Source organism: Homo sapiens, chromosome 17, assembly GCF_000001405.40.
Source record: "Homo sapiens chromosome 17, GRCh38.p14 Primary Assembly".
NCBI classification, from domain to species: Eukaryota; Metazoa; Chordata; class Mammalia; order Primates; family Hominidae; genus Homo; species Homo sapiens.
In genome coordinates, this window is record NC_000017.11 from 12945718 (window position 1) to 12969184 (window position 23467).

Sequence of the window (23467 nt, forward strand, 5' to 3'; positions counted from 1 at the left end):
AATAAATGTGTATTTTTAACACATTTTATATGCCAGGCATTTGCATGTTTGTTATCAAATTTTTTAGCTTAGCTTAGCTTAGCTTATGAGACAGGGTCTTGCTCTGTTGCCCAGGCTGGAGTGCAGTGGTGCGATCTTGGCTCACTGCAACCTCTGCCTTCCAGGTTCAAGCGATTCTCCTACTTCAGCCTCCCAAGTAACTGGGATTACAGGCTCCCAGAGCCTGTAATGGAATTTCAGCATGCTGGCCAGGCTGGTCTTGAACTCCTGACCTCAGGTAATCCGTCCACCTCGGCCTCCCAAAGTGCTGAGATTATAGGCGTGAGCCACCGCACTGGGCCTCAATTTAAAACCGAAAAGGTCTCTACCATCCCTGAGAGAGAGTTTCATGGAAGAAGATGAACTGGACCTTTTCTTTCCCTGAAATTTTTAAAAAAATTATGGAAAACCATAAACACATAAAGATAACATAATGAGCCTTACCACTCAGTTTATGGGCATTCTTGTTACGTTTCTGCCTCCATTTCCTGCCCCCAAACCCCTGCCTTGGATATTTTGAAGTACAACCTAGACATTATATCATTTCATTTATAATACTTAAGTATGTATCTCTGTAAGATAGCGGATGTTTTGAAATATAATTTTTGGCTGAGCACAGTAGTTCACACCTGTAATCCCAGCAGTTTGGGAGGCTGAGGTGGGAGGATCGCTTGAGCCCAGGAGTTCAAGACCAGCCTGGGCAACATAGTGAGATGCTCTCTAAAAAAAAAAAAAAAGAAATTAGTTAAAAAATATAATAGGCTGGGCTTGGTGGCTCACACCTCTAATCCCAACACTTTGGGAGGCTGAGGAGGGCAGATCACCTGAGGTTAGGAATTCGAGACCAGCCTGGCCAACATGGTGAAACCCCGTCTCTACTAAAAATACAAAAATTAGCTGGGCATAGTGGCACACGCATCTGTAATCCCAGCTACTCAGGAGGCTGAGGCAGGAGAATGGCTTGAACTGGGGAAGCGGAGGTTGCAATGAGCCGAGATCACGCCACTGCACTCCAGCCTGGGCAACAGAGTGAGACTCTATCTAAAAAAAAAAAGTATTAATATTCCCCAAAAAGTAACAGTAACCTATTAAAATCATCAAATATCTAATCAACATAAACTGGTTTTTGAAGAGCAGTACCTTTGACATCTCCCAGCTCCCGTCTCTGCCCTTTCTGGGCTACTCCATTCCTCAACAGACCTCGCTCTGTCACTTGCATTTTTTCCCTGTTTTGTGTCAGCTCTTTACTTTTAGTAACAAATAGGTTCAAGTTTCCCCTAGCCTAAAACAATATATCTCTTTTCAACACAACCACAGCCTCATATGTCTTCCCAATCTCTTTGGTTTTGTTTTTTATGCTATCCAATTTCTTAAAATAGCTCTCAACATTTGCAGCTCCTGCATCTTTGCCACCACCTACAGATCTTCCTCTGGTGTTGCTTCGCCCCTGTCACTGGGCTAAAACTGTCCTCCGGGATCCCCAGCAACCCCCAAATTGCCAAATCCGATGACTTACTGCCAGCCTCCTTGGCCACAGTGCTGCCTGGTGTTCCTAATGTAACCATCCTCGAAACTTCTAGTTCCTTTGGCCCTCTGGTTCCCTCTGGCCTCTGACCACAGGGGCATCAGGGTTCTCTGTTTAGCACCATGGTCCCCTCTGGCCTCTGACCTAGGGGCATCAGGGTCCTCTGTTTGGCACCATGGTCCCCACCCTGCCCTGCTAGAGGTGCTCCTCAACCTCAGTGAGGACTCCCCCTGTGAAAAGGCTTCACTCGTGCTCACTGCCATCCTTCAACATTTCCATGCACACTTTCCTCTAACACCCCCGAAACAGGACTCATTAGCTAATATAACAATCCCCTCCTCCACCTAGTTTTTATGCTTTGCTCAGTTACACAATCAAAAATCTAAAGGCTTATCTGTGACAGCTCTGTTTCCTTCTCTTTGGCATTTTCCATCACCAAATCCTATTGGCTCTTCTTGCATGGCAAGGGCATGGTTTTATGAAGATCTGAGTGACTCCTTTCCTGTATTCTGCAGTTGGCTGTCTTTGTCGTAGCAGCCTTACTGATACACTCATCCAAACATGTTCATGTAGCTTCCTCACATATATGCCCAAAGAGCTTTGCACATGTGTGTATCTGATGTACCCTATATTGAGAAGGGAGTTAGTGATCCTAGCAAGGCATAAGCTTGATATTCCAGAGTAGGAACACTTTTTCTAAAGGAAATTGGAAGTCTATATGGCCATAAAAGATTAAAGGAGTAAGGACTGTTCTGCCTGCTTGTTTATCAGCCTGTGGGTTGCATTACAGAATGCAAGGAACTAAGATGAAACAGAAACCGATAGGTCTTTAACCCGTGTGTCACTTACCTGTGACGTGGAGGTTTCTTTCCAACTCTGACCTGCATTCATCTTCTCTTCCACACAGCCCTCTCCTCTTCTCTTTCGCTTCATAGCTCCCTTTCACTCTCTAAGGTGCAGTGGTTCACTTGGAAGAAGTGGCAGTGATTTGAAAATAACTCTTGAGAACGGAATGCAGAGGAATGGAAGGAGGCTACCTCACAAACCACCCCACCCAGTCTGCCCTTCCCCTGAAGGCATAGACTTTATTTGATTCTAAAAGTGTAGGCCGGGTGCTGTGGCTCACGCCTGTAATCCCAGCACTTTGGGAGGCTGAGGCAGGTGGATCACTTGAGGTCAGGAGTTCAAGACCAGCCTGGCCAACATGGCGAAACCCCATCTCTTCTAAAAATACAAAAAATTAGCTGGACATGGTGGCGGGTGCCTGTAATCCCAGCTACTTGGGAGACTGAACACGAGAATTGCTTGAACCCGGGAGGCAGAGGTTGCACTGAGTCAAGATCGGGCCGCTGCACTCCAGCCCAGGCAACCGAGCCAGACTCTGTCTAAAAAACAAATAAACAAAAATAAAAAGTATAGCCCTGGTTCCTCCCAACACACATACACACACACACACACACACACACACACCCCCTGTAGACCTCCTCACATTCAACTTACCAGACTGACCAGGTCTTAGTCGAATTCTTCTCCAAGATTTATCTTACACGTACAAGAACAAGATGTCTAAGTGCCCAAGATTCATTTATCCAGTAAATAGTTACTGAGCCAGTGTGATGAGCCACCCCTGCCTGAGGCTGTGGGGACACAACAGTGGGTAAAGCCAGTTCCTGCTCTGAAGTTGCTTATGTGCCAAGAGGGAGACATTGAGAAAGCAGGCAACTGGGGGATTGGGAGATGGTGTTGGGCAAATGCATGTAAGAGGTTTTGGAGAAAAGAAGCAGGCAGTTGCGGGGTCTCTGCGCTTTGATGTTGTACCTTGGAGTTGCTGTGCGCTGACCCTCTGTCCTGTTGGTAGGGACTCTTCCGAGTAGCCCCCTCTGCCTCCAAACTGAAGAAGCTGAAAGCGGCCCTGGACTGCTGCGTGGTGGATGTGCAGGAGTACTCGGCAGACCCCCACGCAATTGCAGGTGGGCACCTCTCAGCGCTCCTGTGTGCCATGGAGGCTCACAGGGAAGGGGTAGAGGGGAGGCTGTGTGGCTACAAGTCCAGGACACTCAAGTCAGTGGCTGCCCAAAGCACTTCAGATGTGTCCACTCAGTGCCCAGTTTCAGGGCTGGGTGCTCTGGCCCCTTGAAGGAAGGCCTCCCCGCATGCCAAGGGAAGACGAGGTAATTGTGGGAAGAAAGAGGGGCCAGGTCCCCTGTCAGAGCCTCATACCCATTTCCATAGGAAGCTACCATTTGCTGTTGACATGGTGGTCAGGAGGCCCATCCCCAGATGGAACCCACATAGGCAGTGCTGGCTGGTGGGTCTTGCCTCTGCCACATCATAACAGTTCACAACCAATATTTCATTCATGCCTAGGAGCTTTGAAATCTTACCTCCGAGAGTTGCCAGAACCTCTTATGACCTTTGAACTCTATGATGAGTGGATCCAGGCTTCCAAGTGAGTACCCCTTGTTTTGGAATGTCCTGTGAGTTACAGTTTATTTGGGAGTATGTGCTGAAATTATAGAAGCATGTAACCTATGATCTCGCAACCCCGTTTCTTGATCTCTGCCATGAAGGAGTGCTTATACATTTGCCCAAGGAGGCAGGTCCAGGGATATTGATGGTAGCATTATCTGAGATAGCAGAAGCCTAGAAGTCACTAAAGATTCATTGGAGAAGGGGGTTGGGAAGTGGCTAAGTAAACTGTGGAGTGTCTGTACCATCGCACACTCTGGAACAATTAAAAAATAGGTAGAGTTATTCATGCTAACATAAATAGATAATGAAAGGAAGTTAACAAGGACTCCTGTGACATTCTATTGTTATAAAAACGAAAACAAACACCCAGCACACTTAAAACAATAGAATTTTAAAAGGACCTATATTTGTGTGTAAGTGTATAAAAGAAAGTTCTGGAAGGGCTCACGTAGGCTGACAGCAGTGATTCCTCCTGGCCAGAAAAGTAGGACAAGTGAGTGGGCATAGAGTCTTTACCCTCATCTATAATAGCTGAATATATTTTAACAATAAGTAATAATGAACTTAAAGGGAGGTCACGTGTCATGACACGTGGGCAGCAGCAGCCTCTCTCTCCCCTCCTGAAGATGCGCCCAAGGGAGAGGCCGCAGCCCAAAGCCAGGCGCAGGGCTGTAGCAGTGTGTCGGGAAGAGTACAGCTGCATGGAGCAGGCAAAGCCACTAGCCCAGCCCTGATGCATGCTCTGGCTCCCACGCATGGTTTTTGAGTCCTGGCTTATTTCCTCGGTTATGCGTGCATTAGGATGGCATTGTATGTTCTTTTGGGCATAGGTAAGAGCTGTCTTAAGTAAATAGTATTGTTTGGAGGAATGTACTTTTACTGAGCGAATGGACCCCCACACAACAGCAGGGTGGGAGAATTGCTACCAGCACAAAGATGATGGAGACGAGGGTAGAGATAGTCTAGGTGGGAGATGAAGGAGGGAGAAGAATGTTTTCTGAGAGCAGGACTAGAGCAAATAGCCACCTTAGCCAGGGGCCTGTGAAAGGAAATGATTTCTAGAGATTTCTAGTCATAGGATTTAGTTGTTGGTGTGTTTCTCAACAACACCATGAGGAACAGGTGTTGTTTCTCATTACCTGTCAGGAACAACAGTGAAATATGTGTCTGATGCTGCTCCTTCTACTTTTTGAAGAACTGGGCCTGAAAGAGACCCACCTGACCTGGAAGGGAAGCCAGGCTCAAATGTGTAGAGTGAGAAAAGCCAACTCCAATCAAGTTGCATAATGGTATTTTATTTCCAAAGCAGAATGGAGATTATGCACTTCAAAAGGCTGGCTGAATATATGGTTCTCTTTTATCTCATTGTGAAAAGGGAGTGCTGGGTTTCATGACATTAATAATTACAACGTTACCATTTATTGAGTGCTTATTAGAGACTTGACATTGTTTTAAGCTCATTGTGTGTTTTTAACTCCTGTAATTTTGACAAGAACCCTATGAAGTGGGGTGTGCTGTTTCTCCTATTTTACATTTGAGGAATTTGAGGTATTGAACAGGTATGTAACTACAGGTTACCTGCTGGCTAATAAGTGGCAGAAGGGGAACTTGAATCCAAGGAGTCCGGTTTCAGGGCCTTTACACTTAACCACAGCACTTTTTGCCTCTCTAGGACAAGAATGTGGTCCTAGGGATGAAGCCAAGTGAGAACATATCCTTTGATGGAAACTGTCACTCTTATTATTTATTGGATATATAAGTGATCTTGATGATATACAGTTAGATAAAGGCAGGATAGCTTAGTGCTTCAGGACCTATCCAGAGATACTCCTGTTCCCACTTCATTTGCAAATGTGGGTCTCCATTAAGAAATAGAAATGATCCAGATGACTCAAAGAGGTCAGTGTCTTTGAACCAGGGAAAAACAAGAACCTGTTTCTACCACTGGATGACATGCATGTAGTACCTAAGATCACTTCATCTAAACCAAGTAATTTTGCCTAGAACAGTGATTTCCAACCCTCTGTGTGCATCATTATGTCCTGGGAAGCTTTTTAAAGATACTAATGCGTGAACCCTTTTTTCAGAGACTTCGATTGAATTGGGCTGGGTTCTGTGATTCAAAGCTCCCAAGGCTATTGGGTTGATAACCTATGAACCTCTGATGAAGCTGAGTTTCATCAGAGGCCAACACTAACCTTAATAAGACATTGCACTTCAGGCCAACTCAGCAGGACACAGACAGATCTGCCATAAGATGGGACATCCGGGGGCCACAGGAGGAGCCAGGGAAGCAAGGGCTGAAGTTAGGGATTACCAGGACAGTGCAAGATAGCCGGAAACTCAAAAAGGACACATCCTTGCAAGCCATTTACATGATCTGTTTCCACGCTGGAGTCATGCAGAATACAGGCTCAGAATAGCCCATGGGCTGAGCTCCCTGACTGGCATCTGTGTCCTCCTGCAGCCCCATAGCCCTGCCACACCAGAGCAGGTCTCTGGCTCTGGCACATATTCACTTGGGGCCTCTGAGGTGTGTGGAGGAAGCACTGTTAAAATCGCACAGGACAAGACAGAAGGAGAACATAGAGGGGTAAATAATAACAACCAAATTTTTAAATACTAGCTTGCTGATATGGTCAGTTACAGTGGTTGGTATCAAATATTACAATGATTGGTTAATATGATTTCCGATGAGACTTTATTGATTCGTGCTCAACCAATGACCTTTCCTATCAATTTCTCAGTGTCCAGGAGCAAGACAAGAAGCTTCAGGCTCTATGGAATGCTTGTGAAAAGTTGCCCAAGGCCAATCACAACAACATCCGGTAAGTGGATACTTACCAAGTATAGACACATGGCTTGGGCTTATGTAAGCCTCAGAGATACAACTGCCCGGGTAAAAGTCATGGTAACTACCATGCATAGCATTTTATGATGTCCAAGGTATTATTAACATGCATGGTCTCTTTTTTTTTTTTTTTTTTTTTTTTTTTTTGAGACAGAGTCTCACTGTGTCGCCCAGGCTGGAGTACAGTGGGATGATCTCAGCTCACTGCAAGCTCCGCCTCCCAGGTTCACACCATTCTCCTGCCTCAGCCTCCCGAGTAGCTATAGGCACCCACCACCACGCGTGGTCTCTGTGTGTGGTGGCACCACCACAGGTCCCAAGCCACCCTGTGAGGGAAGGCAGGAATAATTGTTGCCATTTTTTAGATAAGGAAATGGACTCAAAGAAGCGAACCATTGGCTAATTCAGTTAAAGGAGCAAAGATGAATGCAAGCTATCTTAAGATATTGGGGATTTGTGGTAAAGACAGGTAGGTGTTGGTGGACACCTGGGAGAAGCTGACCTACATGGGAGCTGGGGGAGGCAGAAGTGTCCTTGAGCAAGTTCACAGGAAGGAGAGATGAGGGAGCGTGTTCTCCAGTGCTCCCCCATTCCCGAGCCCTAGCTGTGTTCCACGTCTGCCTCTCGCTTTTCTTGCTACCACCCGAGCTTCCACTTCCGGCGCGCTGCAGATCCTTCTCCACGCCTGGCTCCTGCTGCTTCACACTCTGCTTCTTTACCGCTTTGTCTTGCCAGCACCCATCCCGGCCCTGCCGCCTTTCCTCCCAGCTTCTTAGGAGGCAGATTTTCAGCATCAGCACCTACTGCCATCTGCCTGGTTATTTCTGTTTTCCTGTTAAAAATCCCCAGAATGATGGGATGGCAGTTCCTCAAACAATTAAACACAGAATTACTGTAGGATCCAGCAATTCCACTTCTGGGTATGTACCTAAAAGAATCGAAAGCAGGGACTTAATATTTTCACACTCGTATTCGTAGCAGCAGTGTTCATGGTAGGTAAAAGGTGAAAAGCCAAATGTCCGTCTACAGATAAGTGGATAAACAAAATGTGGTATGTTCATGTAACGGATGCCATTCTGATTCTTGTCATCACGTGGATGAACCTTGAGGACGTTATGCTATGTGAAAGAAGCCAAACACAAAAGGACAAATGCAGTATATGATTCCACTTATATGAAGTACCTGGAGTGGTCAAACTCATAGAGAAACAAAATGGGATGGTGGTTGCCAGGGCTAGGGGATGGTTGCCAGGGGCTAGGAGACAGGAGATTATTGTTTTTTGTTTTGTTTTGTTTTTCTTGAGACAGAGTCTCACTCTATCTCCCAGGCTGGAGTCCAGTGGTGCAATCTCGGCTCACTGCAACCCCCACCACCTGGGATTCGAGTGATTCTCCTGCCTCAGCCTCCTGAGTAGCTGGGACTATGTGCATGCGCCACCATGCCTGGCTAATTTTTGTGTTTTTTTTTTTTTTTAGTAGAGACGGGGTTTCACCATGTTAGCCAGGCTGGTCTCAAACTCCTGGCCACAGGTGATCCGCCCGCCTCGGCCTCCCAAAGCCCTGAGATTACAGGCATGAGCCACGGCGCCTGGCTGAGATTATTGTTTAATCGGGACAAGGTTTAGCTAGGGAAGATGAAAACATTCAGGAAACGGATGGTGGTGACAGGTTCATAACACTGTGAATGTACTTAATGCCACCAAATTGTACGTCTAAAAATGGCTAAAGTAGTAAATTGTACGTATATTACAAATCAGATCCGAAGAGCGGGAATCGGGTGGTTTCAACTTATGGCATGTTGCTGACCACAGCCCTAGGCCGCTGGCCAGCCCATGGGTTGGCCTAAGCTCTCAGCTTAGGTCCCACATCCTGGTCCAGACCTGTGTGGCCTCTTGGAGGGTGGGGCATGGCCAGGAGAGGCCGTGCGTGGAGTTGTCACAGTGACAGCTAAGTGATTACATGGTAGGACATGAGTCTGCTGGACTTTCTACCGGGCTCACGAAGGTGAGCAGAAAATCCCGAATGAGTCGCTTCACTATGATCCAAGCAAAATGGGGTTAGGACCACAGCCTATTGTAACTGAGAGGCCAGAGAAAACATGTCTTCTCGGGGTCCTGGGGCCTCTTGTCAGGTTCTGGCAGATTTTTAGTGTGGTTTGCCAGAGCTGTTTTTTTTGAATTTGCACGTAGCTTCTTCATTGTATTTGTTTTATTTCTATATAGCTTCTTTGTTGGCTCTTTTTATAAAATAACTTTATTAAGCTATGATTTTCATACCATTGAACCTTTTTAACATGTGCAGTGTAGTAGGTTTTAGTGTGTTCATATAGTTTTGCAACTATTACTGGTGTCTCATTTTAGAACATTTCCCTTACCCCAAAAAAGAAATCCCCTTCCGATAAGCACTCCTTATTTTCCCCAACCATGCCCCTAAGCAACCACTAATGTACTTTCTGGCTCCATAGATCTGCCTATTCTAGGCATTTCATATAAGTGGAATACTATAATATGTGGCCTGTTGTGTCTGGCTTCTTTCACGTAGCATAATGTTTTCAGGAGTATCCATGTTGCAGGATGTCCCAACACTTCATTCCTTTTTATGGATGAATAATATTTCATTATATGGACATACCACATTTAATTTATTGGTTCATCCCTTTATGGACATTTGGGTCATTTCCACCCTTCGGCTATTATTAATAATTATGATTCCATGAACATTCATGTACAAATTTGTGTGTGGACAGCTTTCTTTTGGGTATTATCCCTAGGAGTAGAATTGCTGGATCATATACTAAGTCTGTGTTGGACTTTTTCTTTATTAGATCTTTCCAGAGCACCCAACTGAGGGTAACTCCAAGAAACACCACCCCTAGCATGTAGATGTTCCTGCCAATGGTACTTAGACATACTGCTTATCACTCCTGCACACAGGGAACATGGCAAGAAGTAATGGGGTTTGTAAAAAGTGAGGCACTTCAGGTCATTATATACTGAGTCAGAAGGAAAGAAGGAGACTTTCTGGCCAGTGTTAGTTGAAGCAGATGTCGACACCTGACCCAGTGAGATCTGAGCCTGCCTGTTTTTGGAAAGAGGATGCAGAATTTCCATTTCCTGACACGTGACGCATGTTCATTACATTGCAGGTGCACGAGTCTCCTAGTCAGTGAGATATGTGACATGAGAGAAGCTTCTGTCCAGTCCCCGGGGGACATGGCTGGTGTTGAGCCTTGGTTAAACCTGGCCCTTCTAATTTTCTTTTAGATACTTGATAAAATTTTTATCCAAGCTGTCAGAATATCAAGATGTAAACAAGATGACTCCCAGTAATATGGCAATTGTTTTAGGACCCAACCTCCTATGGCCACAAGCAGAAGGGTAAGTACAGGGCGGAGAAGTAATGTGGGTGATCAGGTGGGACTGCAGGGCCTGAGCAGGGTGGGCAGGACAGCTGGGGCCTAGCTGAGCACCAGCCTCATGTATTTTCCAAACCCTATTTCTTTGTTGGCCTGCTCCTCTTTTAGGCTGAGGAGGAGGCACAGAATTCTGCAGATCTTTCTTTTTGTTGATGGTCCCAGAGCTACAGGTCTGAAGTCAGGGTCTTCTCTGAGCTAATTAAGTCAGCATTGGGATGAGGGGAAAGGAGGGCGTAGGACATGGTGGCACAGGTCAGGCAAGCTCTTAGACTCTGTCATAAGAGGACACATCCCAGCCTCAGGATTCGGAGGGATAGAAGGCTGTCTCCAGAGATAGCAGTGTTGGAAAGAGGATGAGAATCACAGGGACGGGAGGGAGGAGAATCACACCTCACGTTGAAAGTGGCTTTGTAGGGATTGTTCATGTGCCTCGGGTTTATCTCCATTCTGCAGATGGAAAAAGAGAAGTTCAGAAAGGTGAAGATTCCCTCCCAAGAGAAAGTCTGCTCTCAAACCTCTGTCTGTGGGGTTCCAGTCCAGGGCCCCTTCCTGGGCTCTGCAGCCAGAGGACCATGGGCCTCAAAGCTTGCCTCAGCTGCTAACTCCACCCTGTTTGCCTCTGCTCTCTGCTTACAGGAACATTACAGAGATGATGACCACAGTGTCGCTGCAAATTGTTGGGATCATTGAACCTATCATCCAGCATGCAGACTGGTTCTTCCCTGGGGGTAGGTGACAGCACCTAGGTGTGGGGGCAAGAGGCAGGGAACAGGAGTATCACTGCGAGTTCTGAGCCTTTGAAGCCAAGTACCACTGCCCACAGGCTTTTTTTTTTGATTCCCCTATAAACACACACACACACACACACACGCATGCAGACATGCACAAAGGCACACACGTATCAGGGTGGAGTCATGGCAGCTTCCTGTTCTGTAATCTCTATATTTTTTGAGATGGAGTTTTGCTCTTGTTGCCCAGGCTGGATTGCAATGGTCCGATCCGGCTCATCGCATCCTCTGCCTCCTAGGTTCAAGCAATTCTCCTGCCTCACCCCCTCTACCCACTGAGTAGCTGGGATTACAGGCATGCACCACCACGCCCGACTAATTTTGTATTTTTAGTAGAGACGGGGTTTCTCCATGTCGCTCAGGCTGGTCTTGAACTCCTGACCTCAGGTGATCTGCCTGCCTCATCCTCCCAAAGTGCTGGGATTACAGGCGTCAGCCACTGTGCCCGGCCTGTAATCTCTATTTCAAGGGACACTCTGGCCTGAAGGTGTCCACTGTCTGTACTAACCATGTCCGTGGATTTTACTGGTCTAATATCCATACCATAGTTTCTTCAAATCTGCAAATCTTAGAATGCTTGTGCAGGAAGGAAAGATCCTCTGCCCCAAATCCTTCACTTTGTAGATGCAGAGGGGGAGACAGGTTCCTGAGATGGATGGGGACTTTTATTCAGGACTTGCAGATCACCTGGATGCCTTACAGACCCACCTTTTGCTACCCTAGGTTGTGCCCTTTGAGTTGTCCCTCAGCATGTGAAGGTGGGGCTCAATCTCAAAGGCAATGAGATTCTTTTTTTTAATGCCTGCTTCAAAATTAGGCTCTGAAGATAACTTCCTAAGAGGGAGTTTCAGAGATGTTCTGAGCCACAGAAGCCTCACTCCATAAGTAGATGACTCTCAATGGTGACAGCTTTGAAGAGATAGCAGTTGTTACACTAAATTCGGCATCTGCTTAAAAACATAATAATTGGTACTGTACCGTATGTTTGGTAGACATTAAGGGAATGCTTTTTGCTGTGCTGCAACAGCTGTTAAGGCATGTGAGGATAGGTTAGTAATTCTATGCTCTGCCCATTAGAGGTAATCAATTAAATCAATTAATGCTGTTCTAACATTGAAGAAGTTTGATTGTCTTTCTTTTGCTTCATGTGTTTTAAGGTCGAACTGCTGACTCCCTAAGAGTTGCGTTGATAACAGAGTTGGGTGGGTGTGGGAAATCAAGATAAAGAAATAAAGGAGGTAGGAGTCAAGACAGTAATCCTATAGGTTCTGCGGCTGAGCTAATTCATTACCACTGCACACAGACAGAATTGTGCAGAGCTAATTTATTCTCATTGACTGGGAAAGGATGGGATGAGTACTTCTGTATATCTCTTTGACAGCCAAAAAACAACTTTAATGAAATCTATATTTCTAATATCTTGAATTTATTCTCTATGGTTTTCCAGAAAGGCAGTGTCATCATCTATAAATATTAATATTGCCTCTTATTTTATTTTCTTGACTAATTCCATTGGCTAGTGTTTCTCAAATGGTGTTAAGTAATGGTAGTGGTAGTGAGCATTGCCATTTCTCCTGATTAGTTTAGGACAGCTGTCGGCTTTCAGTCTTAAGCATGAGGTTTTAGAAAGATGATTTCATATATTTCAGAAAGTATCCGTTCCTGTTTTTACAAACTTTTTTTTTTTTTCACAAATTGACATTGCTTTATTAAATGCCTATATAGGTGATCACATGTGTCCCCCTTTTTGGCCTGTTAATGTGATGCATTATATTAATAAGGTGAACCATGGGATGAAATTTTCTAGGGATGACATACGAGGGAGTGGGTGTCTGGACTCATTCCTCCCCTGCCCAGGAAGGGTGTGGCAGACCAAGAGTTCACATGTACCAATTCTTTCTTCCCCGCAGAGATAGAGTTCAACATTACTGGCAATTATGGGAGTCCAGTACACGTGAACCATAATGCCAACTACAGCTCAATGCCCTCCCCAGACATGGACCCTGCTGACCGGCGCCAGCCCGAGCAGGCCCGCCGGCCCCTCAGCGTCGCCACGGATAATATGATGCTGGAGTTTTACAAAAAGGATGGGTATGAACTGGTGTCTCTTTCTCAGCACTGGGGATTAGGGGAGGTGGTGGGGGTGGATGGGTGACGCATAAGAAAAATACAATTACGGGAAGGCTGCACTGACTCTCAGCAGTTTAGGTGACTCGTAGCAATTAAACTGTATCTGCTGTGTCTGGGATGAGTTTCTTTGGCTTGCCGCCCTTTAGACCAGAGGTCAGTGTAGCCTTCTTAGCTGACACAGTTGTGATCAGTATTAATTAGTTCTCATCAAAAGAAAGAAAAAGTAGTCACTGAGTGCAATTAAAAAAAATACATACGCACTTTATTTGGAATCAAAATGTATACAAGTAGATCAATTCCAGAATTTGTAGTGGCTTTACTTTGATTATGAATGGGCTCATTGCATTCTTCAGAAGCATCCTGGCACAAACAATACCTTTAATGTACAGTTTAACGTTCCCAGTTTCAGCCTAAAACTTGAAACAGCCTGAGCGTAAAATCCTTCTAGGTTTTTAAGATGTTTTCCTATCTTTTATTATTAACATCCATAACTACTTCAATGCAGTTATTAAGAGGCTTGTAAGTACATTCAATTTAGTTTGCTCAGCAACAACCCTGTCCACACTCATGTTAAATTAGTTTATATAATATTGAACTACATAATGATTCCCATAGCAAGTAAGATGGGCATAAACAGGTTTCGTAACAAGCACAGCTGACTCACGGTGAGCACCGGCTCAGCCATGGCAACCAGAGGACGTGGACTAATGAGCGTGTTCAGCAAGCTGCAGGCATCCACGAATACCTCTTACAGGAGGGGATCGTCTTGGTTGGTCAGGCAAGTCAGTTCAGTGAACTTTGGTTAGAAATTAAAAATTACTACTGTAAAATAAAATGTAGCAAGTGCTCCTTTAGGATAGATGAGAGCATAAAGCATTGAATGGGAGTATCGGAAATGCAGACAACAGGAAGTAACCTAGCTAGAACCTTCCCCTTTCCGGACAGACCACTGGGCAGCCAGAAAGATATGCTTGAAAAGGCCCATGGCCTAAAGCGGTGCAGGAGGGAAGGTTGAAAATCCAAGAACTGTTAGAGGTGTGTGAATCTTACTTTTCACCCCACTTCTTTCTGAATGGGAGTTGGTATTGGAGAACTAAAGTTGGCAGAGGAGACCTAGGCTTGTTTCCTGGGATGACGGTCAAGCTTTCACAATGGCCAGTATCTCTTCTTTGTTACTTCACCTATCAGAGACAATTTGTATGTGGCAGATGGGAGTTGTTTGTGTGCGCTATGCTGGTGTTTATTGTTCTCCACTTAGTGGAGAAAGAAAAAAAAAGGAAATTCTTAGAAATTCAAATGAGTATGAAAAAATGTCTTTCTTTTTTGTTTTGTTTTGTTTTAAGACAGTCTCAGCTGGGCGCGGTGGCTCACGCCTATAATCCCAACACTGGGAGGCTGAGGTGGGTGGATCACAAGGTCAGGTGTTCGAGACCAGCCTGACCAACATGGTGAAACCCCATCTCTACTAAAAATACAAAAACCAGCCGGGAGTGGTGGCACGCACTTGTAATCCCAGCTACTCAGGAGGCTGAGGCAGGAGAATCACTTGAACCTGGGAGGTGGAGGTTGCAGTGAGCTGAGATCGTGCCATTGCACTCCAGCCTGGGCGACAGAGCAAGACTCCATCTCAAAGAAAAAAAAAGAAAGAGAGTCTCGCTCTGTCACCCGGGCTGGAGTGTGGTGGTGCAATCTTGGCTCACTGCAACCTCTGCATCCCGGTTTCAAGTAATAATTCTCAGGCCTCAGCCTCCCGAGTAGCTGGGATTACAGGCAGGAGCCACCATGCCTGGCTAATTTTTGTATTTTTAGTAGAGATGGGGTTTTACCATGTTGGCCAGGCTGGTCTCGAACTCCTGACCTTAAGTGTTCCTCCCGCCTTGGCCTCCCAAAGTACTGGGATTACAAGTGTGAGCCACTGTGCCTGGCCTCAGAAAAAATTTCTTTAATCTATAAAAAAGAACATACTTAGAATCTGCGAGTCAGAGACAGAGAAAACTAGACAGTGCATTGGAACTTGTTTTTAAATCTTATTAACGCAGTTCCTATGTGAAATCTCTGTAAGCTGAAGGGATGCTCCTGAGGGTAAATTCTGGTCCTGGTTGGGTGATACAGCACTCCTGATATTCCTTCCCAGGTGTTTCTACCCCAAAGTGTGCCCCTCCATCCCTCCTCCATCCTCTCTGCCAGATCTGGTTTGATTCCAGTGCCTCCTGGGCGCACTCCAAATGGCCTCTGAGAGAGAGTTACCACTGCAGATGCATTGGAGTACTCAGAGTTCACTGGCCCACTATCTGCAGGCAGATGCAGAAGCTTGAGCAATATCTTGAGCAGATACCTTATCTCTGATAAAGCTCTCCTGCTTAAGAATTTTCTAAATGATATGTCCACTCTGTATACTATTCTTATTTGAAGTTGAAACTGCCACCATCTACTTTAAGAGTATAGGAAATTTATTACATAATGTATTGTTGTACATAAAATAAATGTTTCAAAATGTGTATTAAATGTTAAATTCAGGCCGGGCGTGGTGGCTCACACCTGTAATCCCAGCACTTTGGGAGGCCAAGGCAGGTGGATCACCTGAGCTTGGGAGTTCGAGACCAGCCTGACCAACAGGCAGAAACCCCGTCTCTACTAAAAATACAAAATTAGCCCGGTATGATGGCGCATGCCTGTAATCCCAGCTACTCGGAAGGCTGAGGCAGGAAAATTGCTTGAACCTGGGAGGTGGAGGTTGTGGTGAGTCAAGATCACGCCATGCATGGCAGCCTGGGCAACAAGAGCAAAACTCTGTCTCCAAAAAAAAAAAGTTAAATTCAATGAAGGTCTTACCGGTTTAGGGTGGCTCTCCCTGAGTTGTCTGAGGTAGAGCATCTGTGCGTACGTTTTAAGGAAGTGTAGTGAATTGTAGAAGATCAGTTCTTACCTGACCTTAAAGAGTGGGTGTTTTTGGAGAGAGGAGAGAAATTTGCATCTCTTGAGTCCCTATGTTATCTTAGTAACATTAGGCCAGTTCTCTATATTGGCCCCATTTCTGATCTTTTGAAATCTATGAGATACATTTTAAAGTCTTCACACTGCTCATTGAAACCCTGACAAATTAAAGCTCATGTTATTGAAGGTTTTTGGCCAAGTTAAAAAAAAATATATATATATATGAATTATATATCAATAAAGCAGATACTTATTTAAAAAGAAGAAAATTGAGGGGCAGAAAAACTGGGTAAAATTGCAAAGAAATGGTAAGTTACCGATTTGTGTCAGTGACACTTTCCTAGGCTGATGGCTGTTATGTCCTAGATGTCATACAAAGCTTCTTACTTCCCTCGCGACTCTGGGCTTTGGTCCTGATGCCTTTCTGATTTGAAATGATGCAGGAAGCTGGGTTTCTTTAGCAGGGCTTGGTGACCAGTTCAGGAGCTTACATATACATTTTTCATCATTGTGGTAGGTAAAATAATGCCCATCCACCAAAGAAAAATAGATCTAAAGACCTGGAAACTATCCATATTTCCTTATTTTGGAAAAAGGTCTTTGAATATGTGATTAAAATAAGGATCTCGAAATAAGGAGATTGATTATTTTGGATTATCAAGGTGGGCTCTACATGACATCATGTGCATCCTTATTAAGAGGGAGGCAGAGAGAGATTTTACTACACACACAGAGGAAATGTGAAGATGGAACAGAGAGAAATTTGAAGAGATGGCCACAAGCCAGAGATTGCCAACAGCCACCAGAAGCTAGAAGAGAGAGCAAAGCCTTGCTCCCTCCTTGATTTCCACCTGGTAATACTGATTCTAATTTATTTAGAAAATCAATTTCTGGGTCAGGCGCGGTGGCTCATGCCTGTAAGCCCAGCACTTTGGGTGGCCGAGTTGGGTGGATCACCTGAGGCCGAGAGTTCAAGACCAGCCTGAACAACATGGAGAAACCCTGTCTCTACTAAAAATACAAAATTGGCCAGGCATCGTGGCGCATGCCTGTAATCCCAGCTACTTGGGAGGCTGAGGCAGGAGAATCGCTTGAACCCAGGGAGGCGGAGGTTGCAGTGAGCCGAGATAGTGCCATTGCACTCCAGCCTGGGCAACAGGAGTGAAACACCATCTCAAAAAAAAAAAAAAAAAAAAAAAAGCAATTTCTGTTGTTCACCAACCTTGTGGTTGGTACTCATGACAGCAGCCATAGGAAGCCAATACAATCATCCACTGCAGCTCCACACCAAGAGCTTTGATAAAGATGGCAGCAGATGCTTTGCTTGTCCTCCCAGGGAGTGTTGGAATCTGATTGCTTTCCCTTCGAGTCTGAGTTGCTCTAGTGAGTTACTTGACCTAGTAGGATGTGGGAGAGGTGATGTTCTGGGACTGCTGAGGCCAGGTCAGAAGAAGCCTTGTAGATTCTTCCTGGGTCTCTGGAGACAGTCACTCTTGGAGCCCAGTACCATCCTACATGGAAATCCAAGCAGCTCCTTGGAGAGAAATGGAAGTCCCCAGCCCTCAAGCCCAGCTGAGCACTGTCCTGACAGCCAGCACAGCTCCAAGCTCTGAGAAGGAGTCATTCTGGAGTCTTCAACCCAAGTCAGACCACCTCTGCCAATGCTGTGTGTGCAGACAGGCCAGCCTTGCATCAATGCTGTGTGTGCAGACAGGCCGGCCTTGCACCAATGCTGTGTGTGCAGACAGGCTGGCTTTGCACCAATGCTGTGTGTGTAGACAGGTCGGCCTTGCACCAGTGCCGTGTGAGCAGACAGGCCGGCCATGCACCAGTGCCGTGTGTGCAGACAGGCCGGCCTTGCGAAGCCCTGCCAGAACTCTAGATTGGTGACCCAGATAACCATGCTAAGTTTTAGGGTAGTTTGTTACATAACAAAGAGCCAGAACAAGCTTAAAAAAAAAAATCCTTCAACCTGTCCCAAATCTACCCATCTGATTTAAATGGCCTGGCCTGGGATAAGTATGTGATTCTAATGTGCTGGGGTTGGGAACTACTGAATAATTTTGCCACTCTGAATGAAGAATTTGGCAATGCTACATTTTTTTTAATTTATCAAAACTTTCCTACTTTAGCCATTGAGTATTGGTGTGATATATAGGGTGTCCTAACTCCACCAACACTCTGAGCAACAAAGTATTAAATAAATCACACTATTGTTTTCTGTACTTTTTAAGCTCTTTCTTAGAAAGTTTTGGGTGCAGATTATGTTTTTAGTGTCTTTTTTGTTTGGGTTGTTTTACTGTTTTATAGAATAGTGAAATTTGTGTGTTAGGTCATTAGTCCTAAATAATAAATGAAAGTAAATCTACAGTCCCTTCTATTTCTCTGACAGTGCCAGACTTCCTGGTCAAATCAATTTTTTTTTCTACTGCCTTCAGAAGAGTTTGCCAAAGTGTCTGCACTCTTGCTGGTTGGTCAGGGAGCACCCATGGAGCCAGCATTGGGCTTTGGACTCCAAGCATTTGTCAGATGCCTCCACTGGCTACATCCCCGACTGAGCCTGGACAAGCTGGGCCAGGACTGTTGAAGGACCTGTGGAGAAGCCCAGAGGCAAGAATAGAAGCGACAGGCTGGGCGCAGTGGCTCACACCTGTAATCCCTGCACTTCGGGAGGCCAAGGTGGGCGGATCACTTGAGGTCAGGAGTTCTAGACCAGTCTGGCCAACATGGTGAAACCTCATCTCTACTAAAAATACCAAAGAAATGAGCTGGGCGTGGTGGCAGACGCCTATAATCCCAGTTACTCGGGAGGCTGAGGCAGGAGAATTGCTTGAATCCAGGAGGCAGAGGAGGTTGCAGTGAGCCAAGATCGCACCACTGCAGTCCAGCCTGGGCGACAGAGTGAGACTCTGTCTCAAAAAAAACAGAATAGAAGCGACATGGGTAATGTGACCTCCTTCCTAGCATCACGTCCCTCCCTTCCAGATAGCTATCAGATAACTGCCATCTTCCCCTTCTCTCCTCTCTGTCTCCACGACCTGCAAGATGCCCATCTGAGACTTCAGTAGACCACTGCCCACTCCCTACCTCTGTGTTTCCTCAGTACCTTCCTCCCTACTGCCTCTTTTCTTTCTTCTGGCTCTGGCCCCTGCTCCCTGCACTTGCCTGCTGGCTTGTCCATCTGTTCTGTTGCCCCTGCTTAGTTCTAGCCTCTCGTAGCCTGAAACCCACGGATGTCAAGGCCCTGACAGCATCTATGAAGCTGCCCCACAGACCCCATCAAAACGTCCTTGGATCCCGATGGGCCGGCGATCTGCCACGGAGATCCAGCTACCTCAGGCCGTGATTCTCAGAAGACCAACATACAGCTCCTCTTTGCAGGCCTGAAACCCGACGCACCTACTGTCATTACACTTGCTCCACCGTGGTCTGATCCTCAGGGGTTCTCTACCAGAGCCAGGTGACAGCAACCCGAATGGTCTATGGGATATTTACATCAGGGCCAGCAGCCTCCCTTGAGCTCTGTTTAGTGGGTGACCCATTCTCAACCTGTGCTTGAGAGCTGCACTGCAAAGGGCTTGTCCCACCCCTGTGGACTTTAATCTAGATGTTCAGTAATTTGGAAAAGGCACACTTGATTGAGAGGGTTCTAGAATAATTCGAACTGTGCCCTATGGTATACCAGTTTCCACTGGTAGTTGGTTATATTATGAATGGGGAGGAGGGTGGACTCTGATGTCTAATAAGTTCCTGAAGCACATGATCAACACATTGAAACCAGTTTCTTTAGTGTATGACTTCTTAGAGTCTTTAACATGCTGTTACAAGGCACAGACCTCCACAGGGGGCTGTAGCATGTATCATTTCCCAAATTTAGTATATCACAACACCTGAGATAAATTGAACCAGTGCCCCAAGGGACTTGTTTTTGTAATTGCAGATGTGGATGTCCTCTGTAGATCCTGTGGTGGAGGGTTGAACAGCACATTAAAATCCCTGAGGCCAGGTGCAGTGACTCACACCTGTAATCCCAGCACTATGGGAGGCTGAGGCAGGAGGACTGCTTGAGGCCAGGAGCTCAAGACCAATCTGAGCAACCCAGTGAGACATCATCTATACAAACAATTTTTAAAAATTAGCCAGGCATGGTGGCACACACCTATAGTCCCAGCTTAGTCAGAAGGCTGAGACGGGTGAACCCCTTGAGCCTGGGAGGTGGAGGCTGTAGAGAGCTGTGATAGTGTCACTGCACTCCAGCATGGATGACATAGTGACACGCTGTCTCAAAAAAAAAAAAAAAAATCCTTGAAAGAGATTATGTCATGGATAAGTGATGCAGTAATTTTACTTCAGAGCTTGAACCTATGATAAGACAAACTTACCTAGAAAGTCTTCTGCGTATGGATGGAAAATGTGACTCCTATTTTGGTTTAGGGTTGTCTACATGGAGAGGGATGTTTTGGTCCAGGCCCCTTATCAGCCTCCTCCCCTGGACTTAGACATTGTTGGATGCTGGGACCAAGTCTGAAATGTTGTCAGAGGACTTGGCCTTTATGTGTACTGGAGAGGTTAAGGTGCTTCGTCGCTACTTACTGAAGAGAGGAGTTACTTCCAGAAAAGCTGGAAAATACCGAATTCAGGCCTCACTGGGTGTGTGTAGGCCAGGCTAAGTCTTAGGAGCTTTGGGTCCCCTTTTCACTCACCTTTGCTGTCCGGGACATCATCTGCTGACCCTGTGGCTCCCTGCCACAGTTCATCTTACAGTCCCTGAATGTGCACGCCTACAGTGGGTGTTTGGGAAGCTTCTGTGGATATTTGGGAAGCTACCAGGTTTCCCTGCCCCCTCTTTCTTGGCTGGCCTTTGCCAAATGTAACTGATCTCTAGAACAAAAACCAAAACCTTCCAAATCTCTATAGACTTGAACACTTCACAGCCATGTATTGGCTGACACCTCCCCTGGCTAGGATTCTTCCTGACCAGGAGTCAAAAACAGCACTGCAGATGTCTGATCTTCAGAGGTCCGTTCTGCTAACCCCAGACAACTCAGCTAGAATGGTCCACAGCAAAATTCTGCCCGGTGATAAGTGTATTCTACCTATAGATACCTATTCTTCTTGGAGCTGGGATCTTCCAAATTTTATATTTTGGCTTTTTTTTCTCCTTTTTTCTCCCCCTCTTCTTCCTTCTCCTCCTCCTTCCCCTGCCCCAACCCCAGCACCCTTCTTCCTCATTTTTTTTTTTTTGTTTTGCTGGGGCAGGTCTTTGTTTCTCTTTAATTTTTGTAAGGTCTCCATCCAGGGTGTGTCAATGCCTGGACACTGGCCAGGGTTAAACTTCGGGGTGTGAATCAGAAGATCCTGATCCACAACTCTTTTTGCTTTTTTTTTTTTTTTTTTTTTTTTTTCCTGAGATACAGTCTTGCTCTGTTGCCCAGGCTGGTCTCAAACTCCTGGGCTCAATGATCCTCCCACCTCAGCCTCCCAAATAGCATGGCCCATAACTTTTAGTGGGCAGATACACAATAGAATATTGTACACTGTGGTTGCAATGTCTGGAACTGAATTTGTCCACGCTCCCCTCCTGCCTCAATTCCTCAACAAAGACAGGCTTATTCTGAACCCTGCCATCATGGAGTGCCCGGGAAGGCATTTTTCTCACATGGTTTCCTTGCTTGCCCCATCACAATACCAGTGACCTTCTCACTTCGAGTAAAAGGAATGACCCATTTTCTAAGTTCAGGGGGCTTAGAAGTGAGCAGACAACATCTTCTACTGGTTTACCCTTAGCTGCTCTAGGTGATCGCTGAGCACCTCCTCACCAACACATCACTTCATTGCTTCCCTCTTGAACCCTGAGCCGTCGTTCCACTGGTCCTGGGCCTAATCCTCTCCCTGTATGGTCTACCAGGTTGCAGACTTTAAAAGAAGCATGCCATTTCATCTCCAGCATCAACGAGCCATTTATAGTTCTTCTCTTTCTACTTCTCCCTGCTTACACGGTGTGAAAGTCATAACCCTATAAATAGCCCTGCATGCAGAGTCTTGAGCTTTGGAATCAGGCTCCCTCTGAGTTCAAATCCTGGTTACTGAACTCTGAATGCCTCAGTTTCTTCATATGCAAAATGGGGAAATCATGGTAAGCACCGACTTGAATCATTCTGAGCATTGAACGAAATATTGCTTACAAAGTGTTTAGAGCAAAGCTCAGCACATGGTAAATGTTAGCTGTTCTTAGTACAGGAACCAGATTTTTGAGTGACATCCTCATGTTTTTAAGGGGGCAACGTGGCGGGGCCCACTTTCCCACTGATGAGGCGTCCCGATCCAGCCCTTTCCTTGCCACCTCGGGTGCTTGAATGTTTTTATCTGTCTCCACCTTACCACGAGCAATTGAGCTAATTCTACAAGCAAGAGATATACAAACACCAAGGGCTTCGTGACAAAGCACGAAATATCCTAACAGCCAAGGACAGCTGACGGTTGCAGGAGGCTCCCCAGGACGTGGAAAACCCTGTGTAAGCAGGAAGTGCTGTGACCATTCCAGGCTGAGCCTCCTGCGCCCTAGTGTATTTTGTTTTCCAAAGAACCTTTCAGACAAGATGACCCTTCTGACTCCTGCCTCCTTTACTGCCCCAATGACCTGGGTTGGGCAGTAAGACTTAGAAGGGTTTGCAGGCATCCCCTCTTTATTTGTTTGTTCCTTAAGCTTGGAATCATCTAAGTAGCATTTTAGCAAGCCCCTATTCTGAAACCCAAATTGGGTCATCCAACTCAGCAGAGCCCCGCGAGACTAAGAAACCTAGGGAAATGGGACTGATAATAAACTCCAGTCCTCATTTTTTTCCAGTCCCCATTTTTTGTTCCCTGTTCTATTTCTTTTTCTTTTTCTTTTATTTCTTTTCTTTTTTTTTTTTTTTGATACAGAGTCTCACACTGTCGCCCAGGTTGGAGTGCAGTGGCGCCATCTCAGCTCACTGCAAGCTCCGCCTCCCGGGTTCACGCCATTCTCCTGCCTCAGCCTCCTGAGTAGCTGGGATTACGGGCACCCACCACCACGCCCGGCTAATTGTTTGTATTTTTAGTAGAGATGGGGTTTCACAGTGTTAGCCAGGATGGTCTCGATCTCCTGACTTCATGATCCGCCCACCTTGGCTTCCCAAAGTGTTGGGATTATAGGTGTGAGCCACTGCACCTGGCCTCCCTGTCTATTTCTATCAGAGAACTCACCCCAAAATCTTTTGATGTTTAGGGTCACTGTTAGGAAGGGAAGAAATCTGATGAGAAACCTGATAAACCCAGGTGACATGGGCCAGA

At 45.9% G+C, this 23467-nt stretch overlaps 1 protein-coding gene across 10 annotated transcripts in view; it reads left to right on the plus strand.

The window, feature by feature from the left end:
- Positions 1-23467, plus strand: part of ARHGAP44 (Rho GTPase activating protein 44) — a 202146-nt gene that overhangs the window by 156220 nt on the left and 22459 nt on the right. For all 10 annotated transcript variants that reach the window (NR_135569.2, NM_001321167.2, NM_014859.6 and 7 more), the window contains 6 exons: positions 3423-3534; positions 3932-4013; positions 6784-6864; positions 10150-10263; positions 10938-11029; positions 13000-13180. Coding sequence is in view for 9 of the 10 variants with exons in the window: in NM_001321167.2 (NP_001308096.1) it covers positions 3423-3534; positions 3932-4013; positions 6784-6864; positions 10150-10263; positions 10938-11029; positions 13000-13180 (662 nt within the window). In the remaining variant the exon portion in view is untranslated. The remainder of the gene's footprint in view (positions 1-3422; positions 3535-3931; positions 4014-6783; positions 6865-10149; positions 10264-10937; positions 11030-12999; positions 13181-23467) is intronic.